Raw genomic sequence first — 21977 nt, 5'->3', positions numbered from 1 at the left:
TTAAACAGATGATTTCTATGATATAAACTATTTAAAATTATTTAAAGGTATAGAAAATGCCAGTTCATCTCACAAAACTACCAAAACCTGATGATACCTAAACCTATACGAGGAAAAAAGAGGTCTGCTTCATACAGTGTGGGCACGTATAATGCTATATTATATATAACGATGTTCTTTGTTTCCAAAATACACACATACACACAGGCCTAGGATCATATTTGGAAAGAACAGTTAATTTTTTTCTCTTTCTGCTGTTAGCTAGTTTGACTGAAGGGGTACTACTGTAAAGTCCCGAGTAATGAAAAAGAGTGAAGCATAATATTTTATGGATCCAAAGGTATCCTGTTTGGTGTTAAAATGCAAGTTTTGTAGCACTTCAAATAGGTGAGTTCTTTTTAGGAACCAATTGAGGAGACAGCTGCTAAAGATTAAGGATTGTTGAAAGCCATTTGGCCTTAGGAAGGGCATCATAAACCACTGGAGCCTGAGCGGAAGTGACCAATTATGTCAAGAGGAGCTGGAAGAAACTACAGCTCGAGGCCTGTCATGATTTGAAGGGATTTGGAGAAAACAAAACGGCAGTTGCTAATGTACCATGTCGGGAACACATCTCTATTGGGAGTATGCTCAAATGAGCCCATAGTGGGCCAATGCAATCTTTGTTCCCACGTTACCATTTGTAGAAAGGAATTCTTGTACTCCACTATGCAAAATAGAGTGCATTTACATGCATCAGTATCATTCATACATACATATATATATCTTAAATTAAATAATAGCATATTATAATCAGCAGTATATAATAAAATTACCTCATTACCTCAAACATCTGTCATTCACCTACCAATCACTTTCAGCAAATATTCATATGCACAAAAGCACAGAAACAACCAGATGGGAACTTCCTTTTATAAGCATACAAACCTACCTACTCTCATATCCTCACTAGCCTTTTCCCTGCTTATTACAATTAGAAGCTGCCCTTCCAATGATTTAAGACCAATCTCCACGACTGTGCTTGGAGTTTCACCCCCTTCAATCTTCTTAGAAAACTTATTGCTTTGCCTTTCACTTTCATTCTAGAGCTTTCTTGTTGCCTTTTAAATGTACCCAAGGGTCTCTGACATTAACACCACCCTTCACCCACACCCACACAGATCTGCCTCAACCCGCAAGGCCATCTTAGTCATCTCCTCCTCTGTTTTCTTTAACATGGCCAATTTATGCTGCAAAAAAAATCCCCTCTATTCATCTCCACTCTGTCACTTATCATTCTTTCCTCAACCCTTTCAAATCTGGTTTCCATCTCTGCTCCTCCACTGAAATGACCTTTCCTTAAGTCCCCAGTGGCTTCACATTCCTGAACCCAGTACCAGTGCTGAACCCTCACCTCTCCGCCTCTGCATGGCAAGCAACACAGCTGACCTTGGTTTCCACCACACCACAGACTTCTGTTTTTATCATATCTCGCTGATCTCTTCTCATAGACTTTTGCGGCTTAGTGTCCTCCACCCAGACACTGAATGTTGAATTTCCTCAAGACTTAAGTCCTAGACCCTCTGCACTCCTCATAGGTATTCTCCTGAAAATTCTTGTCCATGCCCCTGGCTTCAATCCTTGGATGCACAGATGATGCATAAATGTACCATTCCAGTTCAGACCGCTCCTCTTCACTTCAGACTCACACATCCAACTGACTACTTAGCATCTCCACTTGGAAGTCGAGAGGCATCTTAAAAGCATTATGTTCACAAATGAACTCATGGGTTCCCTCACCAACATTTAGCATTCACCAGCTCAGAAAATAGTCTTAGGACTCAGACTTGCCATCACACTCCTGCTTACCCACTCCACTGACAGATCCTTTTATCTCCTACATGTCTCTCAAAGTCATCCACCATACTCCATCTCTACCATGGTCACCATTCCGGTCTAAGCTCTTGTCTGGAATAGGCAATAGCTTCCTATGTGATCGCTCTCACAACATCCTTATCCTTTCCAATCCATTCTCTACAATACAGCTGGACTAACCTTTTTGAAATAAATAAAAATTTGGTCACATAACTCCCACTTTAATTACTTGAATGACTTCCCATTGATCTTGGGATAGACTCAAATCAACATAGCCTGTAAGGCCATAATTGTCTGGCCTCTGCCTTCCTGTCTAGCAGCATGCCACACTAAACCCTGTCTCATTCTCAGTACTCCAACTGTGCCTGGCTTCTTCCATTCCTGGAATGTACCATGCACCCTTCTGCTGGCCTTTGCATATGCTCTTTCTGCTGGAAATTATCCGTGTGCCACCCCCTCCAAACCCCCTTTTGTTTAGCTAATGCCTCACCTTTTAGATTTAAATTCAAGTGTAATTAGGTCAAATGCCCCTTTTCATAGCACCATATACTTCTTTTGCAATTGCTGTAACCAGTGGTAATTCTATATATGTGTGAGTATGATTATGTGATGAATGCATTTTTCCTATTAGAGTTCAGTTCCAAAGCTAGGAACTACTGAGTCACTATCACCTAGGCCAGTGCCTGGCACATAGAAACATACAATAAATATTTGTAGAACATTGTTTTAAAATGAAACAATAAAGAGATTTCTACTACTGCCAGGACCAAAACAAGGTTGGCATTATCCACATTATTTACAATTGTTCCTGGAATTCTAGACAAGCCAATAAAATGTGAAACTTAAATAACTATTGGAAAGGGAAAGATAAAATCACCATTAATAGCAGATGATCATTTACTTAGAAAACTCATAAAAATAAGCTGAAAAATGATTAGAAGTATTAAGGTGTTCAACAATTTAGTCAGATTTTTAAAAAGAGAAATAATCAATAGCATTCCAATATAAGAGGAATGCTCTATTATTATATTATAAAATAGTCATCCCACTAACATTTATTAATACAGTGTACCACACACTGTGATTAAACACTCTTTGAACATCACCTTATTTAATAATCACATTTAATTATTTCATTAAGCCTAATGAGGTAGGTATGACTCCTATCATTTTAGCAAAATAAACCACAACTCTACAAATTTAAACAAATGAAACAAAGAGAGTTGCAGAGCTGGGGTTCATAAAGGGGTCAGGTCTCAAATGTCCATATATATACTCCTAGCCTGTGTTGTTGGAAAACATAAAGGTAAAAAAATGAGGTCATAAAAACAACAAACAATATAAAATATAAAAGAAGAACTTCGGTAAGGAATGTTTATGATGTAATAAATTATAAAACCTTACCAGAGGGTACTAAAAAGGTAGGCATATCTTCCAGGATGTACATGAGTATGTGTGTGCACACACATGATGTATCTACACACACAGATACTGCTGCATGAGTACATGCATACATACATATACATACATACATACATACATACATACATACATACATACACACACTTTGGAAGCTGGAGATTGGTGTCTGGATTCTTCATGCTTTTAGGAATTAAAAAAGAATTCTCTGTTGCTACTCCAATGTGAAAAGAGACCTATGCAAGGATCTTAAGCATCAGTAATTACAACAAATGGATTTATTCTTATTTCCTGTATGATGTGAAGATAGGTTAGAAAATATAAGTATACAGAATATCAGAATGTGACCAAAATTTATCTTTTCAGAAACTTGTAATTTGTATATTACTTTTCCAGCAGAAATAAGAATGTTGAAGAAATAAATATATGCCTGTGTAAATTTCATTTTATTGTGGTTGTCAGTCATTGCAGACTTATCCTCTCTGCTATCCAGGGTGAAGGCTAAAAGCCCACATTCATAACTCACACATTAGTGGACTTATGGAAGCTGAACTTACTGAACCACGTTGAAATAGATCACAGAGGCAAGTACCACTGACTATAAGCAGTGTGGTTGGGACAGTCAAACCAAAACAACCAAAAGCTGTGCTCCATCAAGGCAAAGAATATGTTCTATTTATTTTATATCCCTGAAGATTTAGTGCAGAACTTGGTGAAGAACCATGGAGTCTAACACAGAGCAGGTACCCAATTTCCAGCCTTTATTTTATTTTTTTTCTAAAGACTGGGTCTTGCTATGTTGCCCAGATTGATCTCCAACTCCTGGCCTCAAGAGATCCTCCTGCCTCAGCCTCCCAAAGGTCTGGAATTACAGGCATGAGTCACCTCACCCACAATTTCCATCCCAGCCTTTATAAAGGATTTTGGTTTTTGCCTTAGCTCTTCAGTTTCATAGGCTTTGGTTATTTATTATAAGGAACTTTAATCTCAAGTTAATTAAAAATAACTTTTTTAACCCAAGAAATTAAAAATTTACTTTTTAACCCAAGAAATTAAAAATATTACTTTTTGTAAAGCTAAGAAGCTTATTACATGTACTTATAGTTCAGCTAAGTAATGAGAATCAAGTTATTCATTTTCTATTTTTGGCTTTATGATGGACTCTGAGTCTCAGCTTCCTCAACTATAAAATTTGGGTTAGTAGGTGTCCAAGGCTCATTTCAATAATATTATTACAGGATTAAATGATAAAATATACCCTTATAAGGCTAAATTGCTGCTTACCTGAGTAGTAAAAGGCTACCAACTTGAGCTTTTCTAAAATTTGTAAAATGTGTTCCTGATACACAAGAGTATATCATAAAGCAAATGGGCACCTTAACATCACCCACCTGAATACTGCATTGCATTTCTGACAGATGCAAGGCAGTTTCTCTTCTCATAGCAGGGCAAAAGGTGCGCAGTGCCACTAAGGATAATCAACCTCAATTAGTCAAGTGTCAAAAAACTTGTATGTTTTAAATGGATTCAAAGGTAATTCTATCTACTCCAAGGTATATAACCAAGATAAATAAAAACATATGTCCATATAAAATCATATACATGAACGTTCACAGCAGCACTATTCTCAATACCCTAAACATGCAAACAACTCAAATTTCTATCAGCCGATGAATGGGTAAAATGTTGTATATCCATATAATGGAATACCACTTGGCCATAAAAAGGAATGAAGTACTGAAACATGCTAAAACACAGATGAACCTTGAAAACACTACGCTAAGTGAAAGATCGCAGTCACAGAGGACCACATATTACATAATCCCATTACATGCAACGTCCATAATAGACAGTAGTGGTTTCCAGGGGTTAGAATTTGAGGGAAAATGGGGTATGATTGCTTAAGGACACAGTGTTTCTTTGGGCAAGTGTTCTGAAATTGATTATGTTAACGGCTGCACAACTTTGTAACTAGAAACCACTACATTGTATACTTTAAATGCATAAATTGTACAGTGTGCGCATTCTATCTCGATAAAGCTGTTACTGAAAAAAAACAAAAGAGGAATTTATCACATGAGTTCAGCCATCCTAGAGGTGGAATCTAGGGCCATCTCAGTGGGTACTGAGAACACAAGGTAGATTCTAGTATTTTAGTAAAAGGCTCCAAAAATGAGCTCTGACAGCAGTCTCTCTCAGCTGAATTAGAATTCACCTGGTCATCTCTCTTTGAGCAACTCTGATTGGTCTGCTGAGTTCCAAGTACCCAGCATGCTATGCTTTCCCAACTTGAGGGGATCTTGCCAGTCAGGAGAAGAAGATGAAACAGGGATTCTACCAACAGCACCTAAAAGCTTGAGATTACAAGGTAGATGTTGGGGTGTGCAAGCAACAGCTGGGCTTGCTTCTGCTCTCCTAATGAAAGACACAGCTCCAAGTCTCTAGTGAGACTGCAGCAATGTGGTGACTCAGAAGCAATGGAGACAGCTGGCATTTTGTAGACATACAGTAGGAAGTTCCAGGCATGTATTATTGTGACTGAATAGGGGACCATCTTTGCATCTCCGTGGCTATCTCTAGAGGGTTTCCCCAAACTCATCAAGAGAAAGCACCAGTTCCCAAATTGCCAAGGGCATGTTAGAGTTAAGGTTTCCAAGACATAAAAAAACCCACAAAAAACAAAAAACAAACAAACAAACAAACAAACAAAACCAAACAAACAAAAAACAACAAACAAACAAAAACGTGTCCAGGGTTCTGAACTCAAGAGCAGGCAGGAGTTTGGCTTGGGCAAGAACAGACACAAGGCAGTGTGGGGGGCAACCCAGACAATGTGCTGTGGAGGGAAGAGATGCAGCAGATGTTTAAGGTTCAACTAAACCAGAGAGGCTAAATTCCTAGCTAGATGGCATGGACTTTTAGCAACCAGACAGAAGCAAGTAAGGGGAGAAAGAGTCCAGAGGCAGCTAAGGCACCTAAAGTCCACATGTGCAACTCTGTCCGCAAGGCAGTAGTTTAGGGGCAGCCTGGGGGTAAGGCACATGCCACTTTAGCCGGGTTTACTGCCAGGCTAGCAATGTTATACAAAAAGTGGCAAGGATACGCAGGTATAGAAGTTGAATTAGACAGGAAAGAGAAAAACAGATACAATCAAGCCATAGAGACTGAATGATAAGGATTGAGAATTCAGGCTCAAGAGTGAGGGGTTCAGGCACAATGAATGGGCCATGAGCTCCACAACTTGATAGGGAGTTTCAAGTAATGGGCTCAAGACTGTTGGGAGGAGTAAAGCATGATCTTGAGCCAAGAGCTCTAAGACAGCATCTCCTTGTGTTTTTCCCACCATTGGCTGGATCAAGAGCAGAGCACATTCAGGCACCAAGCTCTTTACATAGCAGCTGGCTGGAAGGCACAGTCAGGGGTCAAAGGATGAGGGGACGGGGTGACAGGGGCTCTGGATTCCTGGTCAGACCCAGTCTCCTTCATGTAAGTAAAAGATATAGTTTTCTTATTTGTTATTTCTATCTTTTTACTTTCAACAGAGCCCTCAAGAGTGGCTCTCTGGACTCCTGTTAACCACTCCTTCACTCCCTTTTGGATCCTAGATTGTATAAATCATCAGGGGGCCAACTTCTCACCCCAAAGGGGTCACCTGGCTATACAACCACTTTCTAATCCTAACAGGGTTTCCTGGCTGTGTATGTCACCCTCTATGTACACAAACATAAATCATGGTGATTAGTTTGTTCCCCTAGGTGCTGGCCCAATGTGCGGATATGAACCCAAATATTTTCTGAGGACAAACTCTGATCTAGAGTTGCATCAGATATTGCAATTCCAGGCTACCTCAATCTATAAGACTGCTTTATGAACAAGATTGCCTTAACTTATCCATTCTGCATTTTCCTATTTATTTCATATGAACCATCTCAGTCATGCAGATTCTCAGGCAAACAAATATACTTTTTTTGGTTAGTATATAGTCCCACTCTCCTTTCTAAAATAATCACTACAAAAAAAAAAGAAAGAAAAAGAAGAAAAAGTATCATTTTCAGTTATTTGAATGACTTCACCTCCTTTAGACTTTTGCTAATTTGCATATTTGGCTTACCTGATTGAGTAATTTCTCAAACCACTAGCAACACACAACATAACTGTCCCTTAAGCAAAGGTTCAAATACCTCCCACGCATGTTGCTGTGCAAGGGGTGAACCCAGCGTACTCCCAGTCGTAAGTCGTCTCACTGTCCTCAGGGAGAGGGATGTCTAGCTCTCGGGAGGCCGGGCTCTCATCACATGCTTCCAGGAGGCAGGGCCGTTCGGTGGGCAGCTTGGGGCCTTCACACTCTTCCTCGGGCAGCTCAGTCTCAGTCTGCGTGAATGTGAGGAGCACACGGCACTTCACCTCACGGACCTGCACACCCGGCCCACACGTGGTACTGCAGGCTGACCAGGGTTCTGGAATGAACCTAGGGAAAACCAGGAAGCCACCAGAAAAGGACACTGAGGGTCATTAAATATAGGCCAGAAAAGGAGGAGTGACACATTCAACGAAGGCAAAAATAACCAGCTTCACTCGGTGGAATTCCACACATTTGGAATTTTATACTTTTGTTGATGGTCAGTAATGCAGTTAACAAACATTCAAATCTTACTAGCAACAGAAAGAGTAATTCACTAAACTATATTCTACTTTTACATCCATTTCATAATTCGAATCTGTGCTATGGCCTTTGCAAAATTATAAAGGTTTTCTTTAAGATTTAGTAATAAATAAACCATCATATGGAGATCATTTCTAATCTAATTTATTTTATAATATGGAGATTTTCACCAATATTTATTCAGTAAATTAGTATTGAGCTTATCCTCTGTAATGGGCAGAGTAGTATTAAACTGTCTCAAGTTTAGGAGCTAAATTTTAGGGTATCTTAAATACTTTCTACAGAGTGGATGAAGCCTTAATATTCTTTTATGTTTAATACACAAGTGCACGAAGCTTCTGGATCTTCTTCAAAACAAAAGAAATATTGCACAATCTTGCTGAACAAAGCATTTAATTCTTATTCCGGATTATTATCTACTAAATCAAAGGTCATCAAACTATGACTAGCAGGTCAAATCTGGCCCACCTATCTTTGGTACAACCTACCAGCTGAGAATCATTTTTATGTTTTTAAATGGTTGGCAGAAAAAAAGATATTTTGTGACATGTGAAAATTACATAAAATTAAATTTTACCGTGCATAACTAAAGTTTTACTGGAATATAACCACACTCATTTTTCCACCTATTGTCTATGGCTTTTGTGCTACAACAGAACTGAATATTTGCAATAGAAACCATTTGGCCTACAATGCCTAAAACATTTACTATCTGGTCCTTTACTGGACCCCTGCACAGAATTTTGAAAACCAGATTCCGTAGGGACAGATATATTTAAGATACTCTGAAAAAACACTTTGTATCTTGAGATATTAATAAGTGATAGAGGAGAAAGAGTTCAGTAATAGAATAAGTTTTGAAAACTCAGGGCTCGATAATGTTCAACAGATTTATTCACTGCAAAACTTTTCCAAAGACTATGAAATATAAATGCAAACTACAAATGCTTAAGAGAGAAATATTACGTGCATCATTTCATAAACTTAAGTGAATATAGACCCTTGTCCGTGGGATTATGTTCTACTAAATGACTTCAGAAAACACTGCTAAGATGTTTGTTTAAGATGCAGTTCCAAAGCTTAATATTTCTAACCTCAGAAAGACAGGGTTGTAAGGTTCTCACAGAGTCATCCAACCTTCTTTCCCCAGGCAAGACTTAAATATAGTTGTCCAAAAAAGCACACCCCCAATCAGCAGAATGAAATGCCATTACTATATACGTGTCCTGCAAAGAAACATCAATCAACACAAAACATGTTGTTCATTGTGTTGAAAATTGTTAGTGGGGAACCCTTCTCTCTAATTCTCAGATTCCATGTGAGGGCTTGCTCAACTCCCCAGGATGGGGCAATGCTGGAGTTAATATTTGATGTGTCTTTTCTTTCTCTGCTACTCTCATGGTAGAATTGGGAAGGAGACTGGTTAAAGACGAGAAATCCCGACAGTGTAATAATATGTAGTCATTTAAAAGGACATAGGTTTAGGTATGAACTGATAACAGTCTTCTCTTGAAGACTGTTAAATGAAATAAATACATTATACATATATGCTACATACACACAGTCTATAACATACACTATCTATATATACCTATATACTATTTTTTGATTTTAGAAAAAAGAGATCGTAGTACATGAACTGCCCCATATGTAGCATGTTTGTATGTATGCTGGTTTATGTATAATTTCTCTCTTCTGGAAGCAATTGAAAGTGTCAGGAACTAGAGTGTGTAAAGAGGGAGGTTTTTACTTTATATTTTTAAAAGGTTTAAAGTTTCTAAGCATGTGCATATTTTACCTTATGGTCATTAATTTTTTCTCTCTTTTCTCCTTGGTAATAAAAAATTAAAAATTGGGATTTTGTTTTAATGGGAAGTAGATATTTTCATTCAAATTGGACTTCTGTATCTTGGTGATTGAGAATCTCGAGAGGAGATGAGGTAAGAAAGTTCACCTTGGCCAGGCGTGGTGGCTCACGCCGGTAATCCCAGCACTTTGGGAGGCTGAGGCGGGCGAATCACCTGAGGTCAGGAGTTCGAGACTAGCCTGGCCAACATGGCGAAACTCCGTCTCTACTTAAAAAAAAAAAAAAAAATTAGCCAGTCATGGTGGTGCATGCCTGTAATCCCAGCTACTTGGGAGGCTGAGGCAGGAGAATCGCCTGAACCAAGGAGGTGGAGGTTGCAGTGAGCCAAGATTGTGCCACTGCACTCCAGCCTGGGTAACAGAGTGAGACTCCATCTCAAAAAAAAAAAAAAAAAGGTTCACCTAAACTCCCAGCAGGGCAAATAATGGTTATACTCAATGTCCTCCTAGTTTTTCTGTATATTTCAAGTTGGTTTTCAACGATCTTTTTAAAAGTCCTGTTAAAAAGTAAATGTTAGTTCTGTCCAAAGTAACAAGAAGTGACTTAAAGGTTAAAAAAAAAAAAAAACCCACGGCAACTAAAAAATAATTACACAGAATCCAGCATGATTTCCTTCTATGTATTATTTTTTATTTAAATTAAAGATATTATAGTGTTCATACAATTCTGAATCTTGTCTCCCCTCACCAATTTTTTTTTTTTTAAAGAAAGAAAGGAATACATTGAAAGAGCCATGTCTGGGCAAAACACAACCAGAGGAACAGGCTGTGTTACCTACGTCTTTGCACATGGAAGAACTTAAAAAGAATATCATTTCACTGATGTGAGAGTTTCGAGATGAGATGATAAAACAACAGAGTAAAAGGGAAAATGGAAACCAACTGTGAAACATAATAACACTATTGTCACAAGTCTAACAATTCATAACTAGGAAAAAACAGAAGAAACATGGCTGAAGATCAAATTAATGACACAGAGGCCAGACTTGGAAGTGAATGCAGTGTTGAGAGAGAGAGAAAGAGAAGCTGCAAAGAAAACTTTTGTAGGGATGGAAATGTTCTGGATCTTGAGTGGGACTGGGGTTTGAGGGGTACATACATCTGTCAAAACCCATCAGCGGGCGTGGTGGCTCATGCCTATAATCCCAGCACTTTGGGAGGCCGAGGTGGGTGGATAACCTGAGGTCAGGAGTTCAAGACTAGGCTGGCCAACATGCTGAGATTCCGTCTCTACTAAAAATACAAAAAATTAGCCAGGCATGGTGGTGCATGCCTGTAATCCCAGCTACTCGGGAGGCTGAGGCAGGAGAATCACTTGAACCCAGAAGGCAGAGGTTGCAGTGAGCTGAGATCACACCACTGCACTCCAGCCTGGGCAACACAGTGAGACTCCACCTCAAAAAAAGAAAGAAAAAAAACCACTCATTGATGGTGCACTTTAAATAGACACAGTTTATTGTATGTAAACTACATCTCTATAAAATTGATTTTCTGAAGCACAATTTTAAGGGACTAAGTTAAAGAGAACCTAGGTAATCCAATATTGAAGATAACTGGATTCTTCATGTAGAGATTCCAACGCATGAAACAGAAAAGCTGCTCAGAAATAAAATATGAAAAAAGTGACTGAAATACATCCTGAAAAGGTACACTGTCTTCCAGGAAAAAGTAATAAAAATGATGAACATAAAAACCTAGAATTGTAGGCAGAATAATGGCTCCTCACCCCTGCAAGTACTCCCATGCCCTAATCCCCAGAATGTGTGAATACATTACCATACACAGCAAAAGGGACTTTACAGGTGTGACCTCGAGATGGGAAGATAATCCCAGATTACTTTGGTGGGCTTAATCTAATCACAGACATCCTTAAAAACAAGGATATCACTCTGGCTAGAGTCAGAAATGTAAGTAGACTAATAAGCGAGAGGGATTTGAAGTGTAACAGGAATTTACCCACTGTTGCTGGCTCAAAGATGGATGAGACCATCAGCCAAGGAATGCAGGTGGCCTCTAGAAATTGAAAACAATCTCTCAGCCCACAGTCAGCAAGGAAATGAAGATCTCAGTTCTACAAATGCATGGAACTGAATTCTGCCAATTATTCAAATGAGCCTGGAAGCAGACTCTTGCCAAAGAAGACTTCAGACTGACAGACACCTTGATCCTGGCCTACTAGTAACTGGAACAGAGACATCAGCTGAATCTACTGGGCTTCTGACCCACTCAACTGTGGGATAATACATTTGTGTTGTTTTACACCGCTAAGTTTGTGGTATTAGCAGCTATGGAAAATGAATACACCTGGCTAACAAAACTTTGAGCATGAAGAAAGAATTGTCTAGGTGTCTAGGCACAAAAAGCAAGTCTCCTATAGGAACATAAAGACAGGGGTACCTCAGATGCACACAACATTCAAAACCAGGAAAAGATAGAGTAAGAGTTTTGAGAGAGAGACAGAATCAGAGTCCTATGAATATTATGTCCAGTAAAACTGTTATTCAAATACAAAGGTAATAATTTTCTGTAAAATAAGAACAATAATATTACCTACCTAATGGTATTGGGTGAGAATTAAATGTAATGATGTCTGAGTTAAAAGCTCAATAAGTACAATAAAATAAAAAAGTAACATCAGACATTCATTGCATTCTTATTCCTGTGAGACACTGTCTTCAGTGCTTCAAACAAATTCTATCATTTTCTTATAACAACAACCGTATCAGGAAATATTATTATGCCCACTTTACAGATGAGAAAACTGAGGTACAGACAAGTAACCAAAGGGTATACAACAGCTGCTAGCATTATTGTACACGGCCTCATCTGTATCAGAGGATACAGAAGCACTTAAACATCATCCAGGATGACAGCATATGAATCCAAAGACAATTTGACAATGCTCTTTTAGATAATTTATTTTTCTAATTCCAGAATAAGAAAACAAAGCACAAATATCCAACTGCTAAAATCATTCTTCAGCACAAGAGAAGAAGGCAGCATGTATTAGTGAAAGAAAAACATATCTTGGGACACTTAAACACTGTCAGTAGGAAGGTAAATTAGGACAACCTCCATGGAGATTTCTCAAAGACTTAAAAATAAAACTGCCGTTTGATCCAGCAATTCCACTACTGGCTATTTACTCATAGGAAAATAAATCATTATATCAAAAATATATCTGCATTTGTATGTTTATCAAAGCACTATTCACAACAGTAAAGATATGAAATCAACCTAAGTTCTCACCTACAGATAAATGGATAAAGAAAATATAGCCTATATACACAATGGAATACTATTCAGCCATTAAAAAGAATGAAATCTGGCAGGGTGTGGTGGCTCACACCTGTAATCCCAGCACTTTGGGAGGCCAAGGTGGGCAGATCACTTGAGGTCAGGAGTTTGAGACCAGCCTGGCCAACATGGTGAAACGCTGTCTCTACTAAAAATACAAAAAAAAATTAGCCAGGTATGGTGGTGCATGCCTGCAGTTCTAGCTACTAGGGAGGCTGAGGCAGAATTGCTTGAAGCCGGGAGGTGGTGTTGAAGTGAGCTGAGATCACATCACTGCACTCCAGCCTGGGTGACAGAGCGAGACTCCGTCTCAAAGTGAAAAATCATCAACAACAACAACAAAACAATGCCAATTTATTCATTTTAAACCTGGAGAAATCAGCAGAAATGGCACCATTCTAGATGTTTATGATAAAAATTATATAGGTTTGAGTGTGTTAAAAAAATGAAATTATAGTAGACAAATCTCCTGCTATTATAGAAAACAAATCAAGTTCATATAGCTCATGTAGGAAAACATCAGAAACAAGGAAACATTTAAAATGGAGACCAGAACTATCAGTAATAAAAAATCTATTTAAATGGATTAAACTTTCCTTTTAAAAATAGACTCTCTCTTTTTTTTTTTTTTTTTTTCCCAGAGACAGGGTCTTGCTCTGTCACCCAGGCTGGAGTGCAGTGGTGTGATCACGGCTCAATGCAGCCTTGAACTCTGGGGCTCAACCAAGTGAGCCTCTCACCTCAGCCTCCCCAATAGCTGGGACTACAGGTGCCTGCCACTGCACCCAGCTGGTAATTTTAAAACCTACAGATAATACAAATAACACAGAATGACTTCAGATATGTAAAAAGTAAAAGAATAAACAAAATGAGATAAGAAAAATACAAATGAAAATATAGTGGAAGAGCAAAAAAGCAGGTATAAATATTAGGAAAGAATAAACATAATAGACAAAATTATCATATTTGAAAATGACATAGCTATGAAAAGTACTAAAATTAACTGAAAAATTTTGGAAAAAACCAAAACAGTTCAATAAAGTAGCCCATAACTCTGTGTGTGTGTGTGTGTGTGTGTGTGTGTGTGTGTGTGTGTGTGTGTGTGTGTGTGGTGTGTGGCACTATATAAATATATAGATACATATACTAAAATTACCAGTTTTCCCAGAATTCAACCACATTTACTGTTAGCTGCCAGGCACTATGCTAAGCATATTACATGTATTATTTAATATAATTCTCGCCATGACCTTATGCATAAATATCATTATTTTCCTGATTTTACAGATGAGGAAAACTGAGGTATAAAATACTCAGGGGATTCTAAGCCTAAAAACCTGAATAAATGGAGAGACCACATGCCCCTGAATGGGAAGACTCAAAATTAGAAAGATGTTTATTCTCCCCTAATTAATTTAGAAAAAATGCAGTTCTGAGCCAAACGGCTGAAGCAATTTTTTGGGGGGGAAGTTGGAAACAGACAATACAACTCTAAAGTTTTATGTAAGGTTAGGTGAGAACAATCAAGAACATTTTTAAAAGGAATAACAATTACAGAGTACTTGCACAGTTTAATAGAAAAAAGTATTTAAAAGACACAGTAATTCAAATAATATGGTACTGGCACTGGAGTATTATTTGTACAATGACGTCATTTTAAAACCAAAGTGGGTAGTTTACTCAACAGATAGTGCTAGGGGCAGTTGGTTAATTACTTGGAAAAAATTGTTAGATTGAGATTACATATTACATGTGAAAGTAAATTTCCCATGGATCAAAGTTAAGTGCAAAACATGAACCATAAAAAAAACTACAAAATAACATTTAAAAAAAAAAAGATAATCTCCTGATTTTGATGAACGTATGGGGAAAAAGGCAAGCTGGAGTACTGCTGCTGGCGAGAGAAGCCAGCACTGATTTCTCTCTAAAAGGAAATTTGACAGTAGAAATTAAATGCTTATCCCTGGCCCAGAAATTCCACGCCAGAAAATATGTCCAATGAGACAATTAGAGATGTGCAATTTGGAATTCGCTGCAGTTTTATTTATCATTGTGAATAATTGGAAATAAACTGCAGACCACCAGAGGGATCTTTCAAAAATGTAATTGAGATTATGTCACTTTTCTGGTTAAAATCCTTACATGGCTCCCACAGCCTCCTGATAAAGTCCAAGCTCCTTAGTGAACCATGGAAGACCCTCAAGACTTGCTGGCTCCTCCAGCTGCATCCTTGCTGCCATTACTGCTCCCCGGGCCCATCCTCCTCGCCCCTCACCCACCTCAGACCACCTTAGCAACCTGCGTGGCCTACATGGGCCAGTGAGCCTGCACACAAGCCTCTATTCCAAATACCTGACATGCTGCTCTTCTGACATTGTAGGACACTCTAGGATCTCAGTTCATGTACCATCTATTTCCGGAAACCATCCCTGATCCCGAATAACACCATAACGTAATTATAATGCATTGCAACCTTACAATACCATCATGCAGTCACTCACTTCTCTGTCTACTCCATTAGATAAACCCAAGGATGGGTGAAACTTGAATTCAGGACATCTGACACGAAACTGCAGCTCTTTCTAGTCTTACGTGCCATAGAATCACTGTCCACCACTTAATATCTCCAAAACAATTCCTTTATGTTTCTACGCCTGTTTCCTCAGCCCCAAAATGAAAATAAGAATAGCACCTCCTCATAGGGTTGTTGTGAGCATTAAACAACTTAATCCACGTAGAACACTCAGAACAAGGTCTGGCACAAAGCACTCCTCAATATTAGTTGTTGTTATCATTGTTGTTGTTAGAAAAACAGATTCCTGAAATGTCACCTAATTTGACATTAGCAAATATAATCTCCACAAATGGAGAATTTAAGTCAGCAGTGAAGGAAACATACAAGGTGTGCTAACTAAGTCCACCCTATTTCCTTAGTTTTTGTATATGAAAAACGACAGCGAGGGCAACAAGTTTGCTGAAGTGTTAAGAATCCCACAGAAACAAACGAAGAGGCTCCAGGGAGGAATTTTAAAACAACCATGAACCAATGAACCATATCAACTGTCAACACATTCCACAGCTGAAAGCTAAGAAGGTCAGTACTGCAGTTCCCTTGGCTTAGATTTATACACTATAATTTTTATTTTCCTAATTTTAAAAAAAGCAAAAAAGCCTTTTGAACATCCGCTCCCTATGTAAATTCAGAACTCGAGCCATGGTAAACCACAGAGGCAGAAATATTTATCTCCTTCAGGCTGGCTTGGCAGGCTCTACTGGAGGGATGTAAAATACAGCTGCGTTCATCCTCTCCTTCACTGTCAACAAGCAAGCATCCCCAAACCACAAAAGACAGTGGTAATAAAAGGATGCACTGGAAGCTGAGATATGTTGCGGTTTTGTTTGGAAATCGAGGGAATGAATAGAGTCAGAAGTGGTGGCAGGAAAATATAAACTTCACACTAGATGGCCAGGACCAGGCCAGAAACTGCCAGGCAGTGTGAATTATGCAGGAAAATTGCAGAGCGACCACAGAGGGAGAGATGGCAGAAGGTGGGAAGAGGCAGCTGCTTGGGCCAGGGAACAGGTGCTGTCTGCTCAGTCTTCAACACGGGGGAAGAAAGGGTGGTGTCCTTCAGGAGTAAAGAACCTTTTGGCTTTGCTCTGTGAATACGAGGAGGAAGAAACCCCTAGCAAAGTCAGGTGGGGCTGACAGAAAAGGCAGGCTTGGAATGAATATGGGGCCTGAACCTCACTGTAGCTCCTTTTCTTTCTTTCTTTCTTTCTTTTTTCTTTTTTTTTTTTTTTTTTTTTTTTTTTGATGTGGAGTCTGGCACTGTCACCCAGGCTGGAGAGCAGTAGCAGGATCTCAGCTCACTGCAACCTCTGCCTCCCGAGATGAAGCAATTTTCCTGCCTTAGCCTCCCGAGTAGCTGGGACTACAAGCATGTACCACCACACCCGGCTAATTTTTGTATTTTTAGTAGAGACAGGGTTTTACCATGTTGGCCAGCCTGGTCTCGAACTCCTGAGTTCAAGTGATACACCCACCTCAGCCTTCCAAAGTGCTGGGATTATAGGCGTGAGCCACTGCGCCCGGCTGATATCCCCCTTTTCTAATTCAATAAAGTAAACAGTATTTTCTGAACTTTAAAGGGACCTTAGGGACGATCGGATCCAGTGGTTCCCAAACTTGGATATGCCCACTCCCCTGCCAAAGTTACCTGGGGTATTTGTTTAAAATGCTGGTGAATGAAAGAGAGACAGAAAATAGAATAGAGGTTACTAGAGTCTAGTGGGAGGGAGTAGGGAGTTATTGCTGAAGGTGAACAGAGCTTATGTTGGGGGGTGATGAGAAAATTTGAGAGATGGGAGGTGGTGATGGGTGCACAACAATGTGAGTGTGCTTAATGCCACTGAACTGTACACTTTCAAATGGTTAAAATGGTAAGTTTTGTGTTGTGTATCTCTCACCATGATAAAAAAAAAAAAAAAGATCTGGCAGCCGAAAGAAAAAGAAAATGTTGGTGATGGAGCCCCACTCCTACAGTATCTGACTCAGTGGGGCCTGGAAATCACCACATTTTAAAAAGCACCACGGGTGATTCTGATAGAAGTATTGAGGATAGCATTTCAAAAATGGTATTTTGATTATTTTTTAAAGACTTCTTTTTGAGATACATAATTATGAATGAAATGATGTGCTGTCTGTGTTTGCTTCAAAAATGATCAGGGGGTAGTGGCAGTGGTGATGGTTTCGATGAAACAAGGGTGGCCCTGGGTTGATAATTGTTGATACTGGGTTATGAACATGACATGGGGGTTCATTACACTGTTTTCTCCTCTTTTAAATAGGTTTGCAATTTCCTATGATTAAAAAGAAAGTTACAGAAAAAGACTTAACAGGTGGGGCCACTCCCAATTAAGAGGGGAGTGTAATTAAAGAGGAGGCAAGAGGCAGCTTGCTGTGGGCAAGAAACAGCCCGCAAGTCAGTGTGGCTGGAGCATCCCACTCAAGGCAAAAAAAAGGAGGTGGCCAGACATGAGGCTGGGGACCAGGAAAGGTAATACCCTGCCAAGTCCCATTGGGCATATGAACCCACATACATCTTTGAGTGATGGGGAGACATTTGGATATTCTGAACATTGCAAAGAAAGAATTAGACTTGGCCAGGTGCGGTGGCTCACACCTGTAATCCCAGCACTTTGTGGGGCTGAGGCGGGTGGATCACGAGCTCAGGAGATCGAGACCATCCTGGCTAACATGGTGAAACCCTGTCTGTATTAAAAATACAAAAAATTAGCCTGACATGGTGGCACATGCCTGTAATCCCAGCTACTCAGGAGGCTGAGGCAGGAGAATCGCTTGAACCCGGAAGGCGGAGGTTGCAGTGAGCAGAGATCACGCCACTGCACTCCAGCCTGGGCAACAGAGTGAGACTCTGTTTCAACAAAACAAAAAGAATTAGACTTGTGCCCTACCTAGATAGACTACTCTGGTGGCTGTGTTGTGTAGGGGTGGATTTGAGGGAAGCAATTCAGGAGCAAATTAGAAAGCTGTTGTAGGTGTCCTGGGAACTGATTTCAGGACCTGTACAAGGATGGTAGTTTGGATGGAAAGGAGGAGCTGGAACCAAGAAAGATTTTAGTAAATATAGTCGGCACAACTCAGTGGCTAATTACACATCAGAGAAGAATGAGAAGGAGCCAAGAAAGAATCCAGGCTTCTAGTTTGGGGAACTGGACGGACTGCAACCCTATTACCCAAAAGAGGACATACAGAAGCATTATCAACTATCATCTAACTGTGTTTTGAAAGCAAAAGATCTTGGTAGGACCCATCATTCTAGACAAAGGACTCTGTGACCTTCCTTCTGTGACAACTACACACTCTCTCTCTCAAGTGCCTCAAACCCTTTTCTTTCTATAGACTCCTTCCCTTACAGGATTGTAGGTGATCAGAGATGTGAGAAGGTTCCAGCAGCATTTAGCCTAATGCCTTCCTTATACAGTTGGAAGGTCTACAGATATTAACTGACTTGTGCAAAACCATATCTTTTTAATTTAAGATTGCCCTAACATCAAAATGAAAAACAACAAACACATACGTATACACTTTTCCATCAGCTTGACTACCAATCTTTGCTCCTTCTTTAGTACTTAAATACCCATTGCTCCGTTTTCTTCTTTTTTGGAAATTTATTTCTGAAATATCCACAATGTTTTATTCTCTACCCTTTGAATGCTACTACTCTAAAATTCACTGAAAAAGCCTTTCTTGTTAATCAAAGTAGGCTTTTCTTTTTCCTCATGGTTTTTCCTTGTCTTTCTGTGAGATTTGAATCCATCTGCTGCTTGCCTCCTTGCCTCCTTAAACTCCTTCCTCCTTTGGTCTCTGGAACAATAAGCTTTCCTGGGTCTTACTCCTCCCTCTCTCCACTACTTTACTCCCTTACCATCTTCCTCTTTTGATTCCCCCTCTTCCTCTAAATCTCCAAGCTTCTGTCAGGAGCCCAACACTCTTCTCTTTTTACTCAAATACTGTGAAGCCATTCCCCCTCACATGGTCCACAGTTTCTTCTGTGGTCATAGCCAGCACTGACAGTGGTCCACGTGGAGAAGTCTGTGCCTGTCATGAGTGTGATGTGCCAGCTATGTTGGCCCACATCACTTTGCCACATGTGCCTTCTCAAAGCAAAGTAACCCACACTGCCCTGGGGCTCACCACTGGGCTGGACCACAGTTAAAAGGGAGATTGACAAATGAGAGTGGGTTCTGAAAAGCACAGGAGGTTGGGAAGGGATCTAAAAACAACAGTGCATGAAGACTGCTGAAAAGGCTAAGAATGATGAACTTGGGAAAGACAAAGCTCTCGGGATCCATGGCAGCTTTCTTCATATTTGTGAAAACTTGTCACATGGGATGGGGCATAGATGTATTTTTTTTTCTGCTTCAGAGAACACAAATTAGGAGGTCTATTCTGTCTCATCAGAAGAAAAAGATCTTGCAAATAACGGGTTGCTCAACACAAGAATGAGGTGTCTCTTAATGCAGTGAACTCTGCCCATTGCTGAAGGTGTTGAAGAAGAAATGCCTGCTCCGAGAGGGAAAGTGGCCAGATTACTGCTGAGACCCCTTTTCCTCTGATGCTCTGGGAATTGCTCTCTTCATAGACAGCCTGTCAGCACCAAACACTTAACATGTTTGACATGGAATCAGCTGTTCTGTTCAATTACTTGAGTCTATCATTGGTACTGTTGTTCTTACAGATTCCTGGACTAGAAATCTCAGAGCACCTTTGATTTCTTGCTCTCTTTTTGTCCCTATATAACTGCCTCCAGAATGCTTCTTTGATTTCCTCTTGATTCTTAATTTCCACTGGCACTGTTACAATCCAGATCCATCAAATCACATGCAGATGGTAGTCATTGGATTTTTGAGTTGGAATGAACCCTGGAGAGATCAAGCCCAACCTGCTCCTTTTATAGGTAAGGAGAATAAGACACAGAAAAATTAGACTTGTCTTAGGTCATGTAGTTAGCAGGGGTGGTTCTAAGCTCCAATACTCTTAGTACCTTGTTCTTTCCATTTCCCTATGATCACTCAGGCGACTAATGCATTTCAACTTAATTGATTTTATAGAGATTGACCATGACTTACCCATGGAATGACTGGTTTATTTGTATGATACTATGATGGTTCATGGTCAAATCACATGCGTTAAAACCTAGAAATTATCCCCAGTCTCTTAAGTGTAGCAGACCACTGGATCTGCTTTGAGTTAAGTAACACTGTTCTTTTCTGTGCTGCTCAGAGAAACTGCCAAAGGAGGACTGCTGAATTGTGAAACAAAGAAAAATTCTAGCCAGCTCAAGCTCTCTAGAGTCTGTAAATCCAGGTCATTTGGATATTAAATGTATCACTGTACTCCAATGAGTACAAAAATTACATATATCATGTTAACTGGCTATGCCCTGATTATTCCTACAAAAGGTCCTGGACTCACGTTGGTTCTTCTGTTGCTATTCTGGTCTCTTCTAGTTCTTGTGCTTGTTTCAGCCAAGGCAATTTTGCTTCCACTGGACTTTTTTCTAAGAAAAAGAGAACATAAACAATGAGCCTAATTACTATTAATCATTAAGGAGTTGGATAGGTGATCATATTGGCTGAAGATTTCATTTATAAAGAGGTCATGTTTTTCAAATGCAAGTTGAGTTCCTTAGTACAATACATTAGGTGGCTGCTGGAATGAATTAAACACTTCTGCTGTATATTAAAAAAATTAATACATTATTAAAATGCAACCAAAATGATCACATGATACAGTTGAAAATGCTGTCAAAGTTAACATAAAAATGCCTTTTATAAATCAATACCAATTTCTGTTGTTCATATATTGAAGCTTTTACTTCAACCATATCAGCTTGCTATCTTTGGTCACATTTTATTTTTGCCCATGGAATGCAAACATTAATAGAGAAAGGCAAATAATATGAAAGTTAAGAAAGTTAGGGGGGATGAAGGAGTCTGTGTTATAGTTTACTCAGACTTTTACTGTTGTTGTAGTTGTTGAGGGAGATGATTACCAATTACATCTGGCATGGAGGAACAAACTGTTGCCCCCCTTCCTGTCCTTTGAAGCCTCCTTGATGTGAAGAAAGGAATAATCTATCTATGAAGTGAGAAATAAAAATAACTTTAGGGTGCTTCAAGGAAACTATGGACACAATGAAAGTGGCTATGAAAGTATCATAAATGCAGAAGGAAGGAAAAAAGACTTCACTGATGGAGTTAAGTAGTCAATGTTTGTACCTGTCATGGCAACTAGTGATTTTTCTGCAAGATAGACGTACTCAAAAATATTTATTGAATGGCTAATTAT

The 21977-nt window shown here is 39.3% G+C and overlaps 1 protein-coding gene across 12 annotated transcripts in view, besides 1 other annotated feature; it reads right to left on the bottom strand.

The window, feature by feature from the left end:
• Positions 1-21977, bottom strand: part of ADAMTSL3 (ADAMTS like 3) — a 385720-nt gene that overhangs the window by 119010 nt on the left and 244733 nt on the right. For all 12 annotated transcript variants that reach the window (XM_011521823.3, XM_017022434.2, XM_011521822.3 and 9 more), the window contains 2 exons: positions 21102-21186; positions 7455-7741 (listed from right to left, as the gene is read on the bottom strand). In XM_011521823.3, the coding sequence (XP_011520125.1) occupies positions 7455-7741; positions 21102-21186 (372 nt within the window). The remainder of the gene's footprint in view (positions 1-7454; positions 7742-21101; positions 21187-21977) is intronic.
• Positions 1261-1310: an enhancer, noted in NCBI's record as "active region_9976". NCBI's record gives its function as "activates an Ori minimal core promoter by ATAC-STARR-seq in GM12878 lymphoblastoid cells {active_cell/tissue: GM12878}" and the evidence as "EXISTENCE:reporter gene assay evidence [ECO:0000049][PMID:35858748]".

Source organism: Homo sapiens, chromosome 15 (assembly GCF_000001405.40).
Source record: "Homo sapiens chromosome 15, GRCh38.p14 Primary Assembly".
Lineage (NCBI taxonomy): Eukaryota > Metazoa > Chordata > Mammalia > Primates > Hominidae > Homo > Homo sapiens.
Note: the sequence above shows the minus strand (reverse complement) of the source record. Positions and strands in the feature narration are given on the sequence as shown.